Source organism: Homo sapiens, chromosome 16 (genome assembly GCF_000001405.40).
Source record: "Homo sapiens chromosome 16, GRCh38.p14 Primary Assembly".
NCBI lineage: Eukaryota > Metazoa > Chordata > Mammalia > Primates > Hominidae > Homo > Homo sapiens.
The window spans coordinates 6,292,755-6,307,512 of record NC_000016.10 but is presented as its reverse complement, the minus strand read 5'-3'; the positions used below and the strand labels follow the sequence as shown (position 1 = coordinate 6,307,512).

Below are 14,758 nucleotides of genomic sequence, written 5' to 3'. Positions count from 1 at the left end.
TATTTACATATGTATTTAGATCAATTAGACTTAGAAAGAAATAATTTAGTATAAATAAGAAATAATTTATTTCTTATCCATTTAGTATTGGACAATATTAATAGCTATAATGATGATGTTTTTTTTATTTTTAAGATGAGTCTCTCTCTGTCACCCAGGCTAGAGTGCAGTGCGCGATCTTGGCTCACTGCAAGCTCCGCCTCCCGGGTTCACACCATTCTCCTGCCTCAGCCTCCTGCCCGGCAATAATGATTACTATCCAACACCAAGTATTTACCATGTACTAGGCACTTTACTTGCAGAAGTCTCTCTAAGCACAACCACCATTATTTCTCTTTTGAGGATGACCTAGGGGGGCGTTTACGAATCTGAAAGAACTTGCTGCAGGTTTTACCACTAGTCAACAGCAAAGCCAGAATGCAAATCCAGTTCTGTGTGACTCTGAAGTCCTTACGCTGATGTAATGTTTAGTCTGCCTCTCCTTTTTTAAAAATAGAGATGTTGTCTAGTTTGACTTTTTGGGTGGTGCCTTCAGGTTCATGTCTAGCAAAAGGAGAGAAGGTATAAGCACCAAGTTCACAAAGTAGCTATATCTTCCTTTACCAATCCCATCATGAAACTAGAGAATTCCATGTTTCCACCACTTAAATGGGGGAGTTTTGGGGGGTCTGTGACATTTCCTTAGAGGTACTGAGTGCAAGGCATAGTATATCAGAGAAAACGACAACTTTTAATTCCTGCAGACAGATTCTTTTAGGTTCAATGATAAAAGACAGGCAGAAATGGACGGCAACTGCTGGCTGATTACAGGCATTGCACAAAATTGTTTGGGAGATGAAAATGCTCCTTCCCATCTAAGTAGAAACGGCCAGTGAGTTCTTCTGACCAAGAGGAATCAGGCTTCTCAGCAAATGCTCCTGAGTTCACATGAACTGAGTTCACCTGAATCTATCAGCTTCTGGAGCTGGCCTGGCACACACGTGCTATTAAGAAGGCCAAAGGATTTCATCCATGAAGAAATCAGTAGACTTCTTACATAAAAATGCCTCTGACGTAAAAGAAGTGCTAATCTCTGCAGAAATCTAATGCAGAAAGTTCCATTCCTTTCGATGCATGAGCGATAACTGAGAGCCCTCAGGGTCCCCTGCAACTTGCCCGGCTCCAGCAGCAGGGCTTGAAGGGAAAGGAGATCCCCTGTGTGGTTTCCATCCATGATTCAACTCTCAGCTCAAATACTGCCTCCCTAGCAAAGCCTCCTTTGATTGGTTTCTGCAGCAAATCTAGGACAGGTTCCCTTGTCATTGCATTTATCTCAGCTATAACTATACAGGAAAACATAAGCATTTGATTAGTACCTGTCTCTCCCACCAGGCTGAATGCTGCCTGAGGACTCAGACATGGAGGGTTTTGCACCCCACCAAATACTCTGCACTCAACAGAGTGCCTAGAGCAAAACCAACGCGCTTTAAATATGGGCTCAGTGAAGGAGTGAATAATTCTAGAAAGAAACCACATGTTTCTCTGCCATCTGAGACCCAGGGGCTTTCATGGACCACCCTGCACTGACAGCTCCTTCTTGAAGCTCAACTTCCTACCTACCTCATGTCCAGCTCCTAAGGGGTCAGTTAGAGGACAGACCATGATATTCAGAGGCAAGTGCATACGTGAAGAAAGAGCTTTGAACTTGGAAGTCATACCCACTTGGTGCAACTGGCAGCTCCAGCATTTGCTAGTTGCTTGACCTTGGGTGAGTTACTGTCCATCTCTGGCCACAATTATCCAATGCACGAGGTGGAAATAAAAAGTACTCTTTTACAGTATTCTCCCCATGATCAAATGAGGTAATACAGGAAAAAAAAAAAGCTAAGAGTATGACTACAGTATGTGTTTAAAAAGCTGTACCTACTTGAGTCATATTGAAGTCCTCCCAAGCTGAAGAGGGCCTTGAGACACAGGTAAAAGTGATGGAAATTATTGCGATTTAAATGAACTCAGTAAATATCTATCTGGGACTGATAAAGACATATGCATGTGAGTATGTGTAAATAAAGACAATGCCAATAGCAAGAAAATAATAAAAATTAACAGGAAAAAGAAGGAGGAGGAGGAGCATCTCATGTTAACTCTGTGTCATGCACTCTGATAAACAATTTGCATGCAGCATTGCACTGACATCCCTATGCCCTGGGCATCATTATCTCCAATTCACAGATTAAGCATGATGTTCAGAGAGGGTTAGTATTGGTACGTGTTCTCACTGAGAAGCCACAACTTGAACTGTGGTCTGAATGGCAGTTGTGCTATATTTGCTCTCAATGAGAATGCTTCCATCCCAAGTAGACATCACATGCTTATGACTACCCGTGGAAGGATTTGGGATAACCCGAGAAAGACACTGATTGATGTGCTTTTACAAGAAAGGAGCTCAGACGTGCCATGGGGCTGTGATTAGCTCTCACACACACACAGGAAGCTCCTCTACCATGCATCACCCCTTCCCAACAGATTCACTTTGGTTATTATCCATCATCTCACTAGTTCTGTTGATTGTTGTCATTGGAGAGAGAAATTGTGCAACAGGTTTACAAAGCAACGTCTCTCAGATATAGGAATTCCTTTTTTTTTTTTTTTTTTTTGAGACAGGGTCTCACTGTGTCACCCAGTCTGGAGTATAGTCAGTGGCATGATGTGGGCTCACTGCAATTTCCACCTCCCTTCTCCGGCCTCAGCCTCCTGAGTAGCTGGCACCACAGGCGTGCACCACCGCACCTGGCTAGTTTTTGTATTTTTGGTAGAGAGACAGGGTTTCACCATGTTGGCCAGGCTGGTCTTGAACTCCTGGCATCAAGTGATCCGCTTGCTGCCACCTCCCAAAGTGCTGGGATTACAGGCAAGCACCACCATGCTGGTCACCAACACAGCAATTCTAAGTAACGTCTCCCCTCTGAGTAGATCATTCCCAGCCATTCGTCTCCCCTCCTCAGGCATACGGCTCTGTAGGGAAGATAGTCCTCAAGATTCTAAGTGTCCTCCTCCTCCGTTAGCAATACCAGGTAGCTTTGGAGCTAAATCCACCAGTTCCATGGAGGTGAGACGGAGGAGGGATACAGTAATCTGGGAGCTCACAAGAGGCTGCAATGCAGACAGATTTATAGAGCCAGGATAAAAAAACACATCATTGGGAATGCATGGAACTTCTGTTCATTAATTATCTTTCTTTTTTTTGAGATGGACTCTCACTGTATTTCCCAGGCTGAAGTGCAATGGCATGATCTCGGCTCACTGCAATCTCCGCCTCTTGGGTTCAAGTGATCCTCCTTCCTCAGCCTCCTGAATAGCCGGGACTACAGGCACCTGCCACCACGCCTGGGTAATTTTTGTATTTTAGTGAAGATGGGGTTTGGGCTGGGCGCAGTGGCTCACACCTGTAATCCCAGCACTTTGGGAGGCCCAGGCAGGCAGATCATGAGGTCAGGAGTTCAAGACGAGCCTGATCAACATGGTGAAACCCCGATTCTACTAAAAATACAAAAATTAGCCAGGCATGGTAGTGCGTGCCTGTAATCCCAGCCACTCAGGAGGCTGAGGCAAGAGAATCACTTGAACCCAGGAGGGGGAGGTTGCAGTGAGCTGAGATAGCGCCATTGCACTCCAGCATTGGTGACACAGTGAGACTCCATCTCAAAAAAAAAAAAAAAAAAAAAAAAGACAGGGTTTCACCATGTTAGCCAGACCGGTCTCAAACTCGTGACCTCATGATCCACCCTCCTCGGCCTCCCAAAGTGCTGGGATTACAGGCATGAGCCACTGTGCCCAGCCCATTAATCATCTTTTCCTTTGAATCTATTTCTCAATGAAAAGTAGCTTTCCATTTCTATTACCAAGATTAATGTGTCAACAATACACAATGGCATAAACTGGACCAGAGCGGAGAAGGAAAAGAAAGAGACAAAATAACGCAAAAAGCAAACCCTCAGTACATAGTGTGATATATTTACTCAGACTACTGCTTTATTTACACCACTGAGAACACTTTATTTTTGAGCTTCATAACTCATTGCTCTATAAAGAAAAAGAAACTAGCTAGCTGCTACCTACTTCAACATGGAGAAAGAAAATACACCATAAAGAAAGCCATCCTCCACTCTGTAGGCCTCGATTTTTTAAAAAAAAAAAAATCTATTTAATACGTACTGGACTCCAGAGCACCTTATTATCTTATTTAATTCAGACCCGGGAAGATGTCTCAGAACGAAAATGGCACTGAAGTGATCGGAACTAAGCTATGAAATGTGGACATCATATTTTCTTCAGAGAGATAATCAGCTTATCAGAATTCATTTCAACCTGAGAAAGGTCTCACAACTACAATGAAAATTCAAGCTGGTCTCATCATCTCAAGAAAGTAATCTCAAGGAAATAGTAAAACGATCAAGGCAAACTTGGTGCAGTTATCTTTAAGAATAAGAACCTCAAGCATCATATCCCAACAGAATCAATGGCAGTGGGGTCTGCCCCAAGTATGAGAGACACCCCCACATAAAATATGTGAAGTGCCTTCACTGATAATATCATTTTTTCAAGTCATTTATGCTACTTTTCAAAGATGCATTCACTACATTCTTTATACCTAAAAACCCTCCCTTAGTATTCTGAAAAATGTCTTAAAAATATATTTTTCTAAATGAATCACTAAAAGGGGCATAAGTTTAGTCTCATGTCTGCTAATTACCAGCCATTTGGTCTTGATTAGGTTATTTAACTCTCTCTGGGCCTCAGTCTCCTGTTTGCACAAGAAAGAGATTAGACCTTCTTGTTTTAAAAATGTTCTTTCTTTTTAATTGCAACAGATGACCTGGTTCGTATGCATCCTCAGAAGAGGAAAATCAACAAGCTTAAGAGCAAAGATACCTCAAAAGTGTACATATGGTTCAACGCTGTCAATACCAAGATAGATATACTACGTGCCTCTCAGTATGACACATTCCTACCCACAAGAAGAAAAAAATTAAACAAAACATAAAATCCATCTAGTCGAAGGGGATATCTGACTTTTTAAAAAGCCAGTGAATTCCAGAAGACAAAAGAAAATTCCTGATAGTCAGTCCTTCATGTTCAGCAAAGAACAACCAAGCCATTTGGTACAATGCTCCAGAAAAGCAGACAATGAAGGAAATGAAGGAAAAATAGCGAGGCAGAAAGATGAATACAGCACTCAGCATCTCCGTGTGGGAGAAAGGAAAGTCATAAAACTGGAGTGAGATCATGAAAGGTTTGCGAAATGTTCAGGGGCCACCTCAGGTAACCATCAAAAGTTATGTATCTAATATGCCACCTCATCCAAATGTGTTTTGGGCAATACTTTCTTCATAGCATGATTTCAGGTAAGAAATAAACATTGTGGATGAAGCCACAGGACATGTAGGAAGTTTTGAGATAAAAATATTTGCATCTCCGGTCTTGTCATGACGGACAGTAACATATAGTGGTAAGAACTGAAAACCTGCAGTAAACAAAGCTCGGTTTCTGATTTTTCCCTGAGTTTGATATTGGGGCATTTACAGACCCCTTGGAACCTCAGGATGTTCTTCTGCCAAGTGGCTGGACTACCTGTGCTACCGGATCCCCGTAAGGATTAAATGAAATACTGCATATCTGATGCTTCACGAAATGCTTGCATATAATTCTGATAAATATTCTTAACTTTTAATAGGTAAAGCCTCATGTTTTGGGTCCAGATCTAGTAGAAGCATATTCTAGCATTTATTGAGCATTAAGTTACAGAGCATTTGCTAAGTTCTAGGCACTCCCCTAAACTGTTTTTATAAAATTTTCCTTTTTTTAAGAGTAGTTTTGGGTTCACAGCAAAATAAAGAGAAAATTATAGAGATTTCCCACACACCTCCTCAGACACGGGTAGCCTTCCCTAAACGTTTTCTGTAATATTTTTTTCATTTGAAAATCTTCACAACATGGAGTTAATTTTACTCACATCTCCGGAAACTAGATCTCATAATGTTCCAAGTTACCCTAAAATGCTTCAATCTTTCACAAAAATCAGAAAAGCATCATTTTCATAAAGGTACTTATTTCAATGAGACCTGCATCGCTTAATAAGAAAGCAGTCTTTAATCCTAATAAGGCAAAATCCTATCTAGGCAATTGGAAAAACAAACAAACAAACAAACAAAAGCCCACTTAATTTCTAGCCATAGTCTACATTCTTTGGCATGTGACACCCATCAAAAATACAGAACTCATGTATATGAAATACTGAATTATTCCACATGGATTTAGAGTCTGGTTGTGCATAATTTCTTTTAGATTTGAAATATGTAGAGATTTAAATAAGTCTACAATTTAAAGAAGCAAAGAAAAAAATCTACATTCCAAAGTTTCCAGGTTCTGTTTCTGATCCTCAAGGATTTTTTTTTCAATGACAACTCATAGGAAATAAATGTTTTTCAAAGGAACATAATGTAAGTTACTTGTGTTCATTTTAATGTGCACATCCACTCATTAATCCATTTGGCACTTTCTGAGTTCCCACTTTGTGAAAACCATCAAAGCATGATGCCAGGTACAGTTAGGGATTCAGAGATAAATGGGGCATTCCATTTTCTAAACAAGCTCACATTAATAATAGCTAATAGAAGGCACAGCAAAACAAGATTCCCAGCAGAAAAACTGAAGAGCAATGTATCCTGACTTGGGAGGTGGTGGTGGAGTAAATGGACTTGGTAAAAGTGGCAACTGTGATAATGCATGGATTGAAAACACTGTCACTTAATGAAAGAGTAGGGCTACAAGCTAGATGCACGAAGCCCCATGCCATATGAGGGAATCAGGAATAGTTTTCCGGAGCCAGAATGTGGGAAAGATATTGAGGGAAATTGGAAAGATGAAACTAGATGAAGGAGGCTTCATGAGTCCAACCTAACAACAGTACGAATTTAATGAGTACTCCGCTAAATACTTTATATGTACCACAGGTGCAAGTCTCGCTAATAACTTTGTGAGGTAGGTAGTTGGGTTGGCGGAGGGATTTCTTTTTATTCTTTAAGTTGACAAAAATTGTGTATATTTATGGTGTACAACATGATGTTTTGAAATATGTATACACTGTGGAATGGCTAAATCAAGCTAATTAACATGTGTATACTTATCTTTTTTGTGGTGAGAACACTTAAAACGTACTCTTTTAGTGATATTCAAGTATATACATTGTTACTAACTATAGTTGTACCATAGGTCTCTTGAATTTATTTCTTCTGTCTAATTGAAATGTTGTATCCTTTGATCATCTCCCCATTTCCTCCCCTCTCACCAGCCTCTGGTAAACACCATTCTACTCTCTGTTTCTATGAGTTTGACTTTTTTAGATTCCTCATATAAGTGAGATAATGCAGTATTTGTTCCCCTGTGCCTGGCTTATTTTACTTAACATAATGACCTCCAGGTTCAACCATGTTGTCACAAATGACAGAATGTCCTTGTCTTTTGAAGCTGAATGGTATCCCATTGTACATGTGAGTTAGGTAGGTGCTTTTGTTAGATTTATTTTAACTGTAGGTTCTGGGGGCACACAAGCAGGTTTGTTACAGAGGTATATTGTGTTAAAACGAGGGTGTGGGCTTCTAGTGAAGCCATCTGAGGTTGGTGTTTTTAATGCCATTTTTTTACCATTGAGGAAACTGAACCCCGACAGACTTGTTTCCCAAAGATCCCTTAGTGATAAGGACAGCCACGCCTTTAACTGAGACCCAGCAGACGCCAGAGTCCACGCTTTTGGCCACTGCAAATAACTGAGTTTAGGCTTTGGCAGGTAGTCATTAAGGATCCATTAGGGATCTCTGAGAAGGGGAATGACTTGTTCTGACCATATTTTAGGAGAAAAACTGGCCAAATGGTAGAGAGTGACCTGGATGTGAGAGTGACGATGACGCTGGGGTCTTGGGAAGGTAGAGTAAAATGAGGTCTCTGAAATCACTCTGGCTGGTGGCTTACGTGCGCTTCACCATGTGCTGGCGCTGTGACCTTGGGCAAGTTACTCGACCTCTCTGAGCTTCAATCTTTACACCCGTAATATGGAAGTCATGATACTGCCACTCATCTCAAAACGCTATTTTTAGAATTACATGAATTGATGAATTTAAAAGAATTAGATCTGCCTGCTCAACTTTAGCCATTTAACAATGATGTCAGTAAATAACATGGTTATCACATTATTTATCATCCTCTGAGGAAGAGACGGAAGAGCAAAAATAGGAAAAGGGTCCACTGTTTCAGATGAGTTTGTGGGGCTAAGGCCCCTGCATCGGACACTTGCATTTTCTTTCCCATGGTGCTAGTATTCAGCCTGCCCCTTTCATTCTAATGTTACCACCAGCTGCTGCATTGCTTGGGGTTACTTTCCTTGCAAACAAGACTGTGGGTTGCAATTGGCAGATGCCTTTTACCTGGGAACAGAGATGAAGTATCAGAGACAAGGGCAGAAATAGCACGAGGAAAGGGGTCAAGATCCTGATATTCTTTTCCATCCACTGTCACCAATGAATACCAGTGCCTACCAAGGCTCCCCTCTGGGTTCTTAACCTCTCAAGCACCACATGAGGAATGTCAGATCATCAAAAAACCAAAATAGGCTATAATTCCAAATTTTCCATGAACATCCAAAGGGTGGCATGATCCATTTAAATATCAGATTGCACTTGCATCCAACAAATATGTAAACTCACCATAATTTGTTTAATTTCAAAAGCTAACCTTTGGAAAACAGTCTCTTGAGATGGCTTGTCATTCTCGAACACTGCTTGGTAAATTAACACTAAGGGTATTTTCACTTTTTAATGAGCGCTGTTGCCAACCCAGAAGGAAGGTTTTGGTCAATCACATGCATATACAATGCTAACTGAACCCATTAGGATCTGCTTAGCTAAAGGCAAAGTTCAGGCACTTTACAGCTGCGTTCAACTGAATTTGAAAAGAAATCAAGGCTTACCAGCAGTCACTCTCTGATTATTGTGAAAACTTATAAACAAAGCACACTTTGTCAAATAAATTGATGATTGTTTTTTATGTCTTAGGGATGCATTGTGTACATGAAGTGCATAACAATGGGATATACTTGGGGAGCTGTGAGTGACTGTGTGAGGTATGACTAACACATCAGTGTGATGGAAAGCAAAAACAAGCCAGGGTGTCTATGGAGCACCCTGTGCAGTAGAACTGCATTCACAGACACTACCATTGAAACAAGAGAGTTCCCTGACCCCCTCGCAGGACATGAGACAGGGGTGTGGCTCATCTCTTCAATTGCTGCCACTGCTCAAACCCCTTACAGGAGGTGGAGCATGATGACAGACAGCTGCAGGAGCCCAACTGGGCGTGTGTTACAGTGTGCTCTTTTAGCCTTGCCATCCACGGATGGCTTAAGTGTTAACAAGCACAGCAGACCCTCTGCCTATTTGCAAATGCAGAGGACCAGTGCAACAGCTTTCTGCATCCTGAGCTCTTCTCCAGCACCCCGAAAGAACTGGGTCACACACAGAATTGAAGGATAGTGAATGCAGGTGTTTTATTGAGCGGTGGAGGTGGCTCTCATCTGGATAGATGGGGAGCTGGAAAGGGGATGGAGTGGGAAGATGATCTTCCTCTGGCGTTTCGCCACCCAGTGGCCAATCTCCTCTCTGACTGTCCCCAGCTGAACTCCTCTCAGCGTTCAGATGCTCCCTCTCTTCTTTCTGCCATGCCATTCTGCCATTCTTCTGCCCTTCTGTTTGTCTCTTCATCTCCTTCTGGAACTGGGTGTTTGGGGTTTATATGGGTATAGGATAGGGGGGTGTGGTGGGCCAAAAAGCAACAGGAATGTCTGTTGCTATTTAAGGCCACAAGTATCCAGGCTTGAGGGTGAAGCCTTTGCCAAGGAACTGCCCTCTTCTACCCAGTATTTCCCTGACTACTGTACAAATCACCACTATTCTCATTTTACAGATCAGGAAACTCGGTTCAGAGGCATTCACAGGCATTTTATAAAATGCCCAAGGTCACAGTAATGCTAAGGCCACCAGTAAGTAGAGGCTGGGATTTAAGCCACAGTGAAACAGCAGATCCATGAGAGCCTATCCGTGCTCTCCAAATTGTGATCCATGTGTCAGAGGCGTGTGAACCAGAGCAACTCCATCTTGAATATGGGCTGGGTAAAATGAGGCTGAGACCTACTGGGCTGCATTCCCAGACAGTTAAGGCATTCTAAGTCAGAGGATGAGATAGGAGGTTGGCACAAGATACAGGTCATAAAGATCTTGCTGATAAAATAGGTTGTAGTAAGAAAGCCGGCCAAAACCTACCAAAACGAAGATGGCGACAACACTGACTTCTGGTGGTCCTCACCGCTACACTCCCACCAGCACCATGACAGTTTATAAATGCCATGGCAACATTAGGAAGTTACCCTCTGTGGTCTAAAAAGGGGAGGCATGAATAACCCACCCCTTGTTTAACATATCATCAAGAAGTAACCATAAAAATGGGCAACCAGTAGCCCTTGGGGCTACTTTCTCCATCGAGTAACCATTCTTTATTCCTTTAATTTCCTAATAAACAGGCTTTCACTTTACTCTGCAGACTCATCCTGAATTCTTTCTTGCACAAGATCCAAGAACCCTCTCTTGGGGTCTGTACCGGTACCTCGGTGTGGTAACACATGCATGGACTTCCTCTGGCAAGTAAACTCATGTGGATCTGATCACTAACAGTGCCATGCCATATGCTAAGTATTCTTAAAATACACAGGCTGGGTACGGTGGCTCACGTCTGTAATCCCAGCACTTTGGGAGGCCGAGGCAGGTGGATCACAAGGTCAGGAGATCGAGACCATCCCAGCTAACACGGTGAAACCGCGTCTCTACTAAAAATATAAAAGATTAGCCAGGTGTGGTGGTGGACGCCTGTAGTCCCAGCTACACGGGAGGCTGAGGCAGGAGAATGGCCTGAACCCGGGAGGCGGAGCTTGCAGTGAGCCGAGATCCCGCCATTGCACTCCGGCCTGGGCGACAGAGCGAGACTCCACCTCGAAAAAAAAAAAAAAGTACATCCCCTCCCCGCTTAATCGTAACAGCCACCTATGAGGTGAAACTGCCTTTATACCCATTTTCCAGATAAGTATAGTGAGGCTGCTAGAGAAAAGATCACCCAGCTTTTTAGTAATAAAGCCAGGATTCTGCTTCCGGAGCCAAATGTTTATCCCCTTTCTTCTTTGAAAATCTAGCACTGAACTTGGCACCAAGGTCATAAGCAGTGTCTGGGGAATGGATGAGCGTGTGAGTGACTAAATCCATGGATGAGGTCTCTCTGCGAAGTGAGGGACCTTCCAACCGTGCCCAAGGCATGTAGCAAAATGCTCGATAAATGTCTGTGAGAAGAACAACTGCTTGTACGGCTGAAAGGATGAAGATCCTGGGCTCAGCTTCCTTTACAGAAGAGGGAGACGTTGTTTGATGATTATCTCCTAAGCCTTGTTATTCCATTCCTGCCCTCTATGATAACCATACAGACATATGTGAATAAAATAGCTGTGTTACATCAGGTGTCCTGCTGGATTAGTTTGTGGCCCAGGGGACATTATCGGTGCCAAGGATCACAATCCTTCACTCCCTATCTCTTTGCAAACAAAGCTGACAAATCGCTCCCGGCGCTCTCTGGAGTAACCTTCACATTTGTGAACAGCGGGCTCTGCACGTTTTCCTCCTGAGCCATTGCCCCTGTCCCCTCCTCATTTCAGGAAAGAGGACAGCTGCAGGTAATGGTACCTTCAGCATCACACACTGGATCACCAGCTTCATTCCAGTCATTGGACATGTGTGAAATGAGACCGCTCATAAACACAGACAGCGCTCTGCAGCTTTTAGGGATGTAGAAGCTACCTGCTGGTTGCTTCAAATCTCTCATTGGTGTATTGGAATTTGACACTTAATATTCAAACCCAACTACAGGCTATGTACTCAGAGAGTAAAACTTGGTAATAGCACACAGCTCCACAGGCTGGAAGGCTGAGCATACAAACCTCTACTATAAAGACACACTTAAGGGGCCAGGCACGGTGGCTTATGCCTGTAATCCCAGCACTTTGGGAGGCCAAGGTGGACAGATCACAAGGTCAAGGGATCGAGACCATCCTGGCCAACATGATGAAACCTCGCCTCTACTAAAAATACAAAACAATTTGCTGGGTGTGGTGGTGCATGCCTGTAATCCCAGCTACTTGGGAGGCTGAGGCACGACAATCACTTGAACCTAGGAGGCAGAGTTTGCAGTAAGCTGAGATCGCACCACTGCACTCCAGCCTGGCGATGGAGAGAGACTCCGACAGAGAGATACCCCGTCTCAAAAAAAAAAAAAAAAAAAAAAAAAAACTCACTGCTTAAGAGCTCTTTGCCAGAAATGGACTTGGAGGAGAGAGAGTGGGAGAAAGAGAGTATAGTGGAAAAAGCATGGTCACGGTGAAAACAATGCTGATTACTATCCTATGCCGATTCCTCCTGAAAATCCGGAAGAATAACACAGCAAATTGGGGTTAGGGAAGGAACAAACGAAATAAACATGTATCTTTTTTTATCAGCTGGTCTCCTTAAATGATAGGGAACGGTGTAAATGTGCAGCACCACAGCACATTCCTCCTATTTACATGCATTCTGTTGCTACTCATTATTTTCTCCATCAGAGACTCAAAACAAGAGGAACATTTCCAGAATTATACATTTTAACAGAGTGATATCAAAAGGACAACCTGGTATTTATGTGCCAATTGCCAAAACACAATTTTCTAAACTTGCATTAACCTAAGAGCCCTCTTCATCATCCAGTTACTTTAGTAGACTCTATAGGATCTCACAGAGGGCTCAGCATCAAGTAGGCACTCAGGAATTGCTGACGGATTAGACTTGGTCTACAAGCAGGCACCTTCATACTTAGTGTTACCTGTTTCACAGAAACTCTGAGCTAAGCCTGTTTGGTCTAAATCACAGACCACAAACTGCAAGTGAGATTATCTAAGTGGCCCATCTATATAAAATATGTGAACCACTCACTGCTTAAAACAATTTACGCAAAGTTACCAGGGCTTAACAATCAACATTAAATATCTACAAATCCAACTCATCTAACCATACTGGGACCATATTTTTGTGTCTCCAAGTCTAATAAGCTTACAAGCTGATGCTTCCTTCAGGAAGAGTCTGTGCTCTCCCCAGGCCCCACCCATCTCTATTGCCTTTAGACATTTCCCTTTTCCTGTTTGGCCCCATGCAGAAAATCTATTTTTGTTTTCTTTAGAGACAGGGTCTCACTCTGTCGCTCAGGCTGGAGTGCAGTGGCACCAGCATAGCTCACTGCAGCCTGGAACTCCTAGGCTCAAGCAATCCTCCTGTCTCAGCCTCCTGAGTAGCTGGGACTCCAGGTTCATACCACCACACCTAGTTGAAATTTGACTTTTTGATCTCTGGTTTAAATATTTAGAGGATAAGGCAAACATTACATCTTTATTTTATTCACTGAAATGTTTTTCCTTTACTCTTACAGTAAAAATTCCTGCAATTCGTCTATTTCCACCACCCCCCCGCTCACCCTGGAATTCTGAGATGGTGTAAACCCATCCAGGAACATTGGCATATGAAGAGAGTGTATTTGAGGTTTTATTCATCCCACTTCCTTGGACTGGAATCCTATTCCTGGACCCTCTGGTTAGGAAAATTACATTCATGCTTCAAAGTTCAGATCAAGTACCTTTTCTCAGTAGAGTCTTCCTGCCCATACCAGGCGACGAGGGCTGAACTAGCCCCTCTTCCCTATGTTTCTATGATCTTGTATTCACACCTCTATTAAAAGACACTAAGATACGGCATAAGGTATCACATAATCATCTACCTCACAGATGTTTATTGCTTGCCCCTCTCCAAACCTAGATTATCAGTTCCCTGAAGGGAGAAAATGGTTTGACTTTGCATCCCAAGAGCTTATCCAAGGACCTGGCAGACAGGCTATGCATTCATCTCATCATAATGAATAACAAATATTCAAAACAGAAAATGATGAGCCCGGGCAGAGCGATAGGAATATTTGAGGGAAAAAGCGAGCTTAAATTTTGCTGGAGAAGATGAAGAACAGTTGCATGGCAGATGTAAGTATTGAGAGGCTGTCTGGTATAATACTTAAGGAGGCAGACTTTGAAGCCAGAGTGTCTAGGTTTATACCCCTGATCCAATATTTCTTAGCTCTGTGATTTGGTACACATTACTTAACCTCTCTGGTTCTCATTTCCCCCATCTATAAAATGACAATATTACCCACTTAATAGGGTACTATGAAAATGAAAGATTCTGCATATGTAAAGCACATAGTGAATATATATGAATATTAATCACTACTATCTGAGTGTGGCTATGAGGAGTAGATAAGACTTGGAGCTAAAGGGGGTAGACATTCCTCCAGGTGGGGGAAAGATATGAAGACAGGAAGGAAATTGTAAGTACCCTGGGGACAACAATGTCCTAGCCTACGGTATATCACTGTGTGTACTTAAGGTTGAAACAGGCTGGAGCCAGATGAAAAAGTACTTTGAATGTCAGTCTAGAATTTTTTGAACTGTATTTTGTAAGAAGTAGAAAACGGAAGTGCTCAGAAATGTAGCTCCCAGGCTGAGTTTCAGTTAACTATTTATTTCAGGCAACTCTTTTTACACCCAAACCCAGAGGACTACAGA

At 42.5% G+C, this 14,758-nt stretch overlaps 1 protein-coding gene across 16 annotated transcripts in view, besides 1 other annotated feature; it reads right to left on the bottom strand.

Annotated features, from left to right (window-relative positions):
- RBFOX1 (RNA binding fox-1 homolog 1) overlaps positions 1-14,758 on the bottom strand; it is a 2,473,620-nt gene that overhangs the window by 1,405,828 nt on the left and 1,053,034 nt on the right. The gene's annotated exons all lie outside the window — the stretch shown is intronic.
- Positions 8,776-9,321: an enhancer, noted in NCBI's record as "NANOG hESC enhancer chr16:6348193-6348738 (GRCh37/hg19 assembly coordinates)". NCBI's record gives its function as "activates a minimal SCP1, AML or CMV promoter by ChIP-STARR-seq in naive H9 embryonic stem cells {active_cell/tissue: H9 hESC(naive)}" and the evidence as "EXISTENCE:reporter gene assay evidence [ECO:0000049][PMID:30033119]".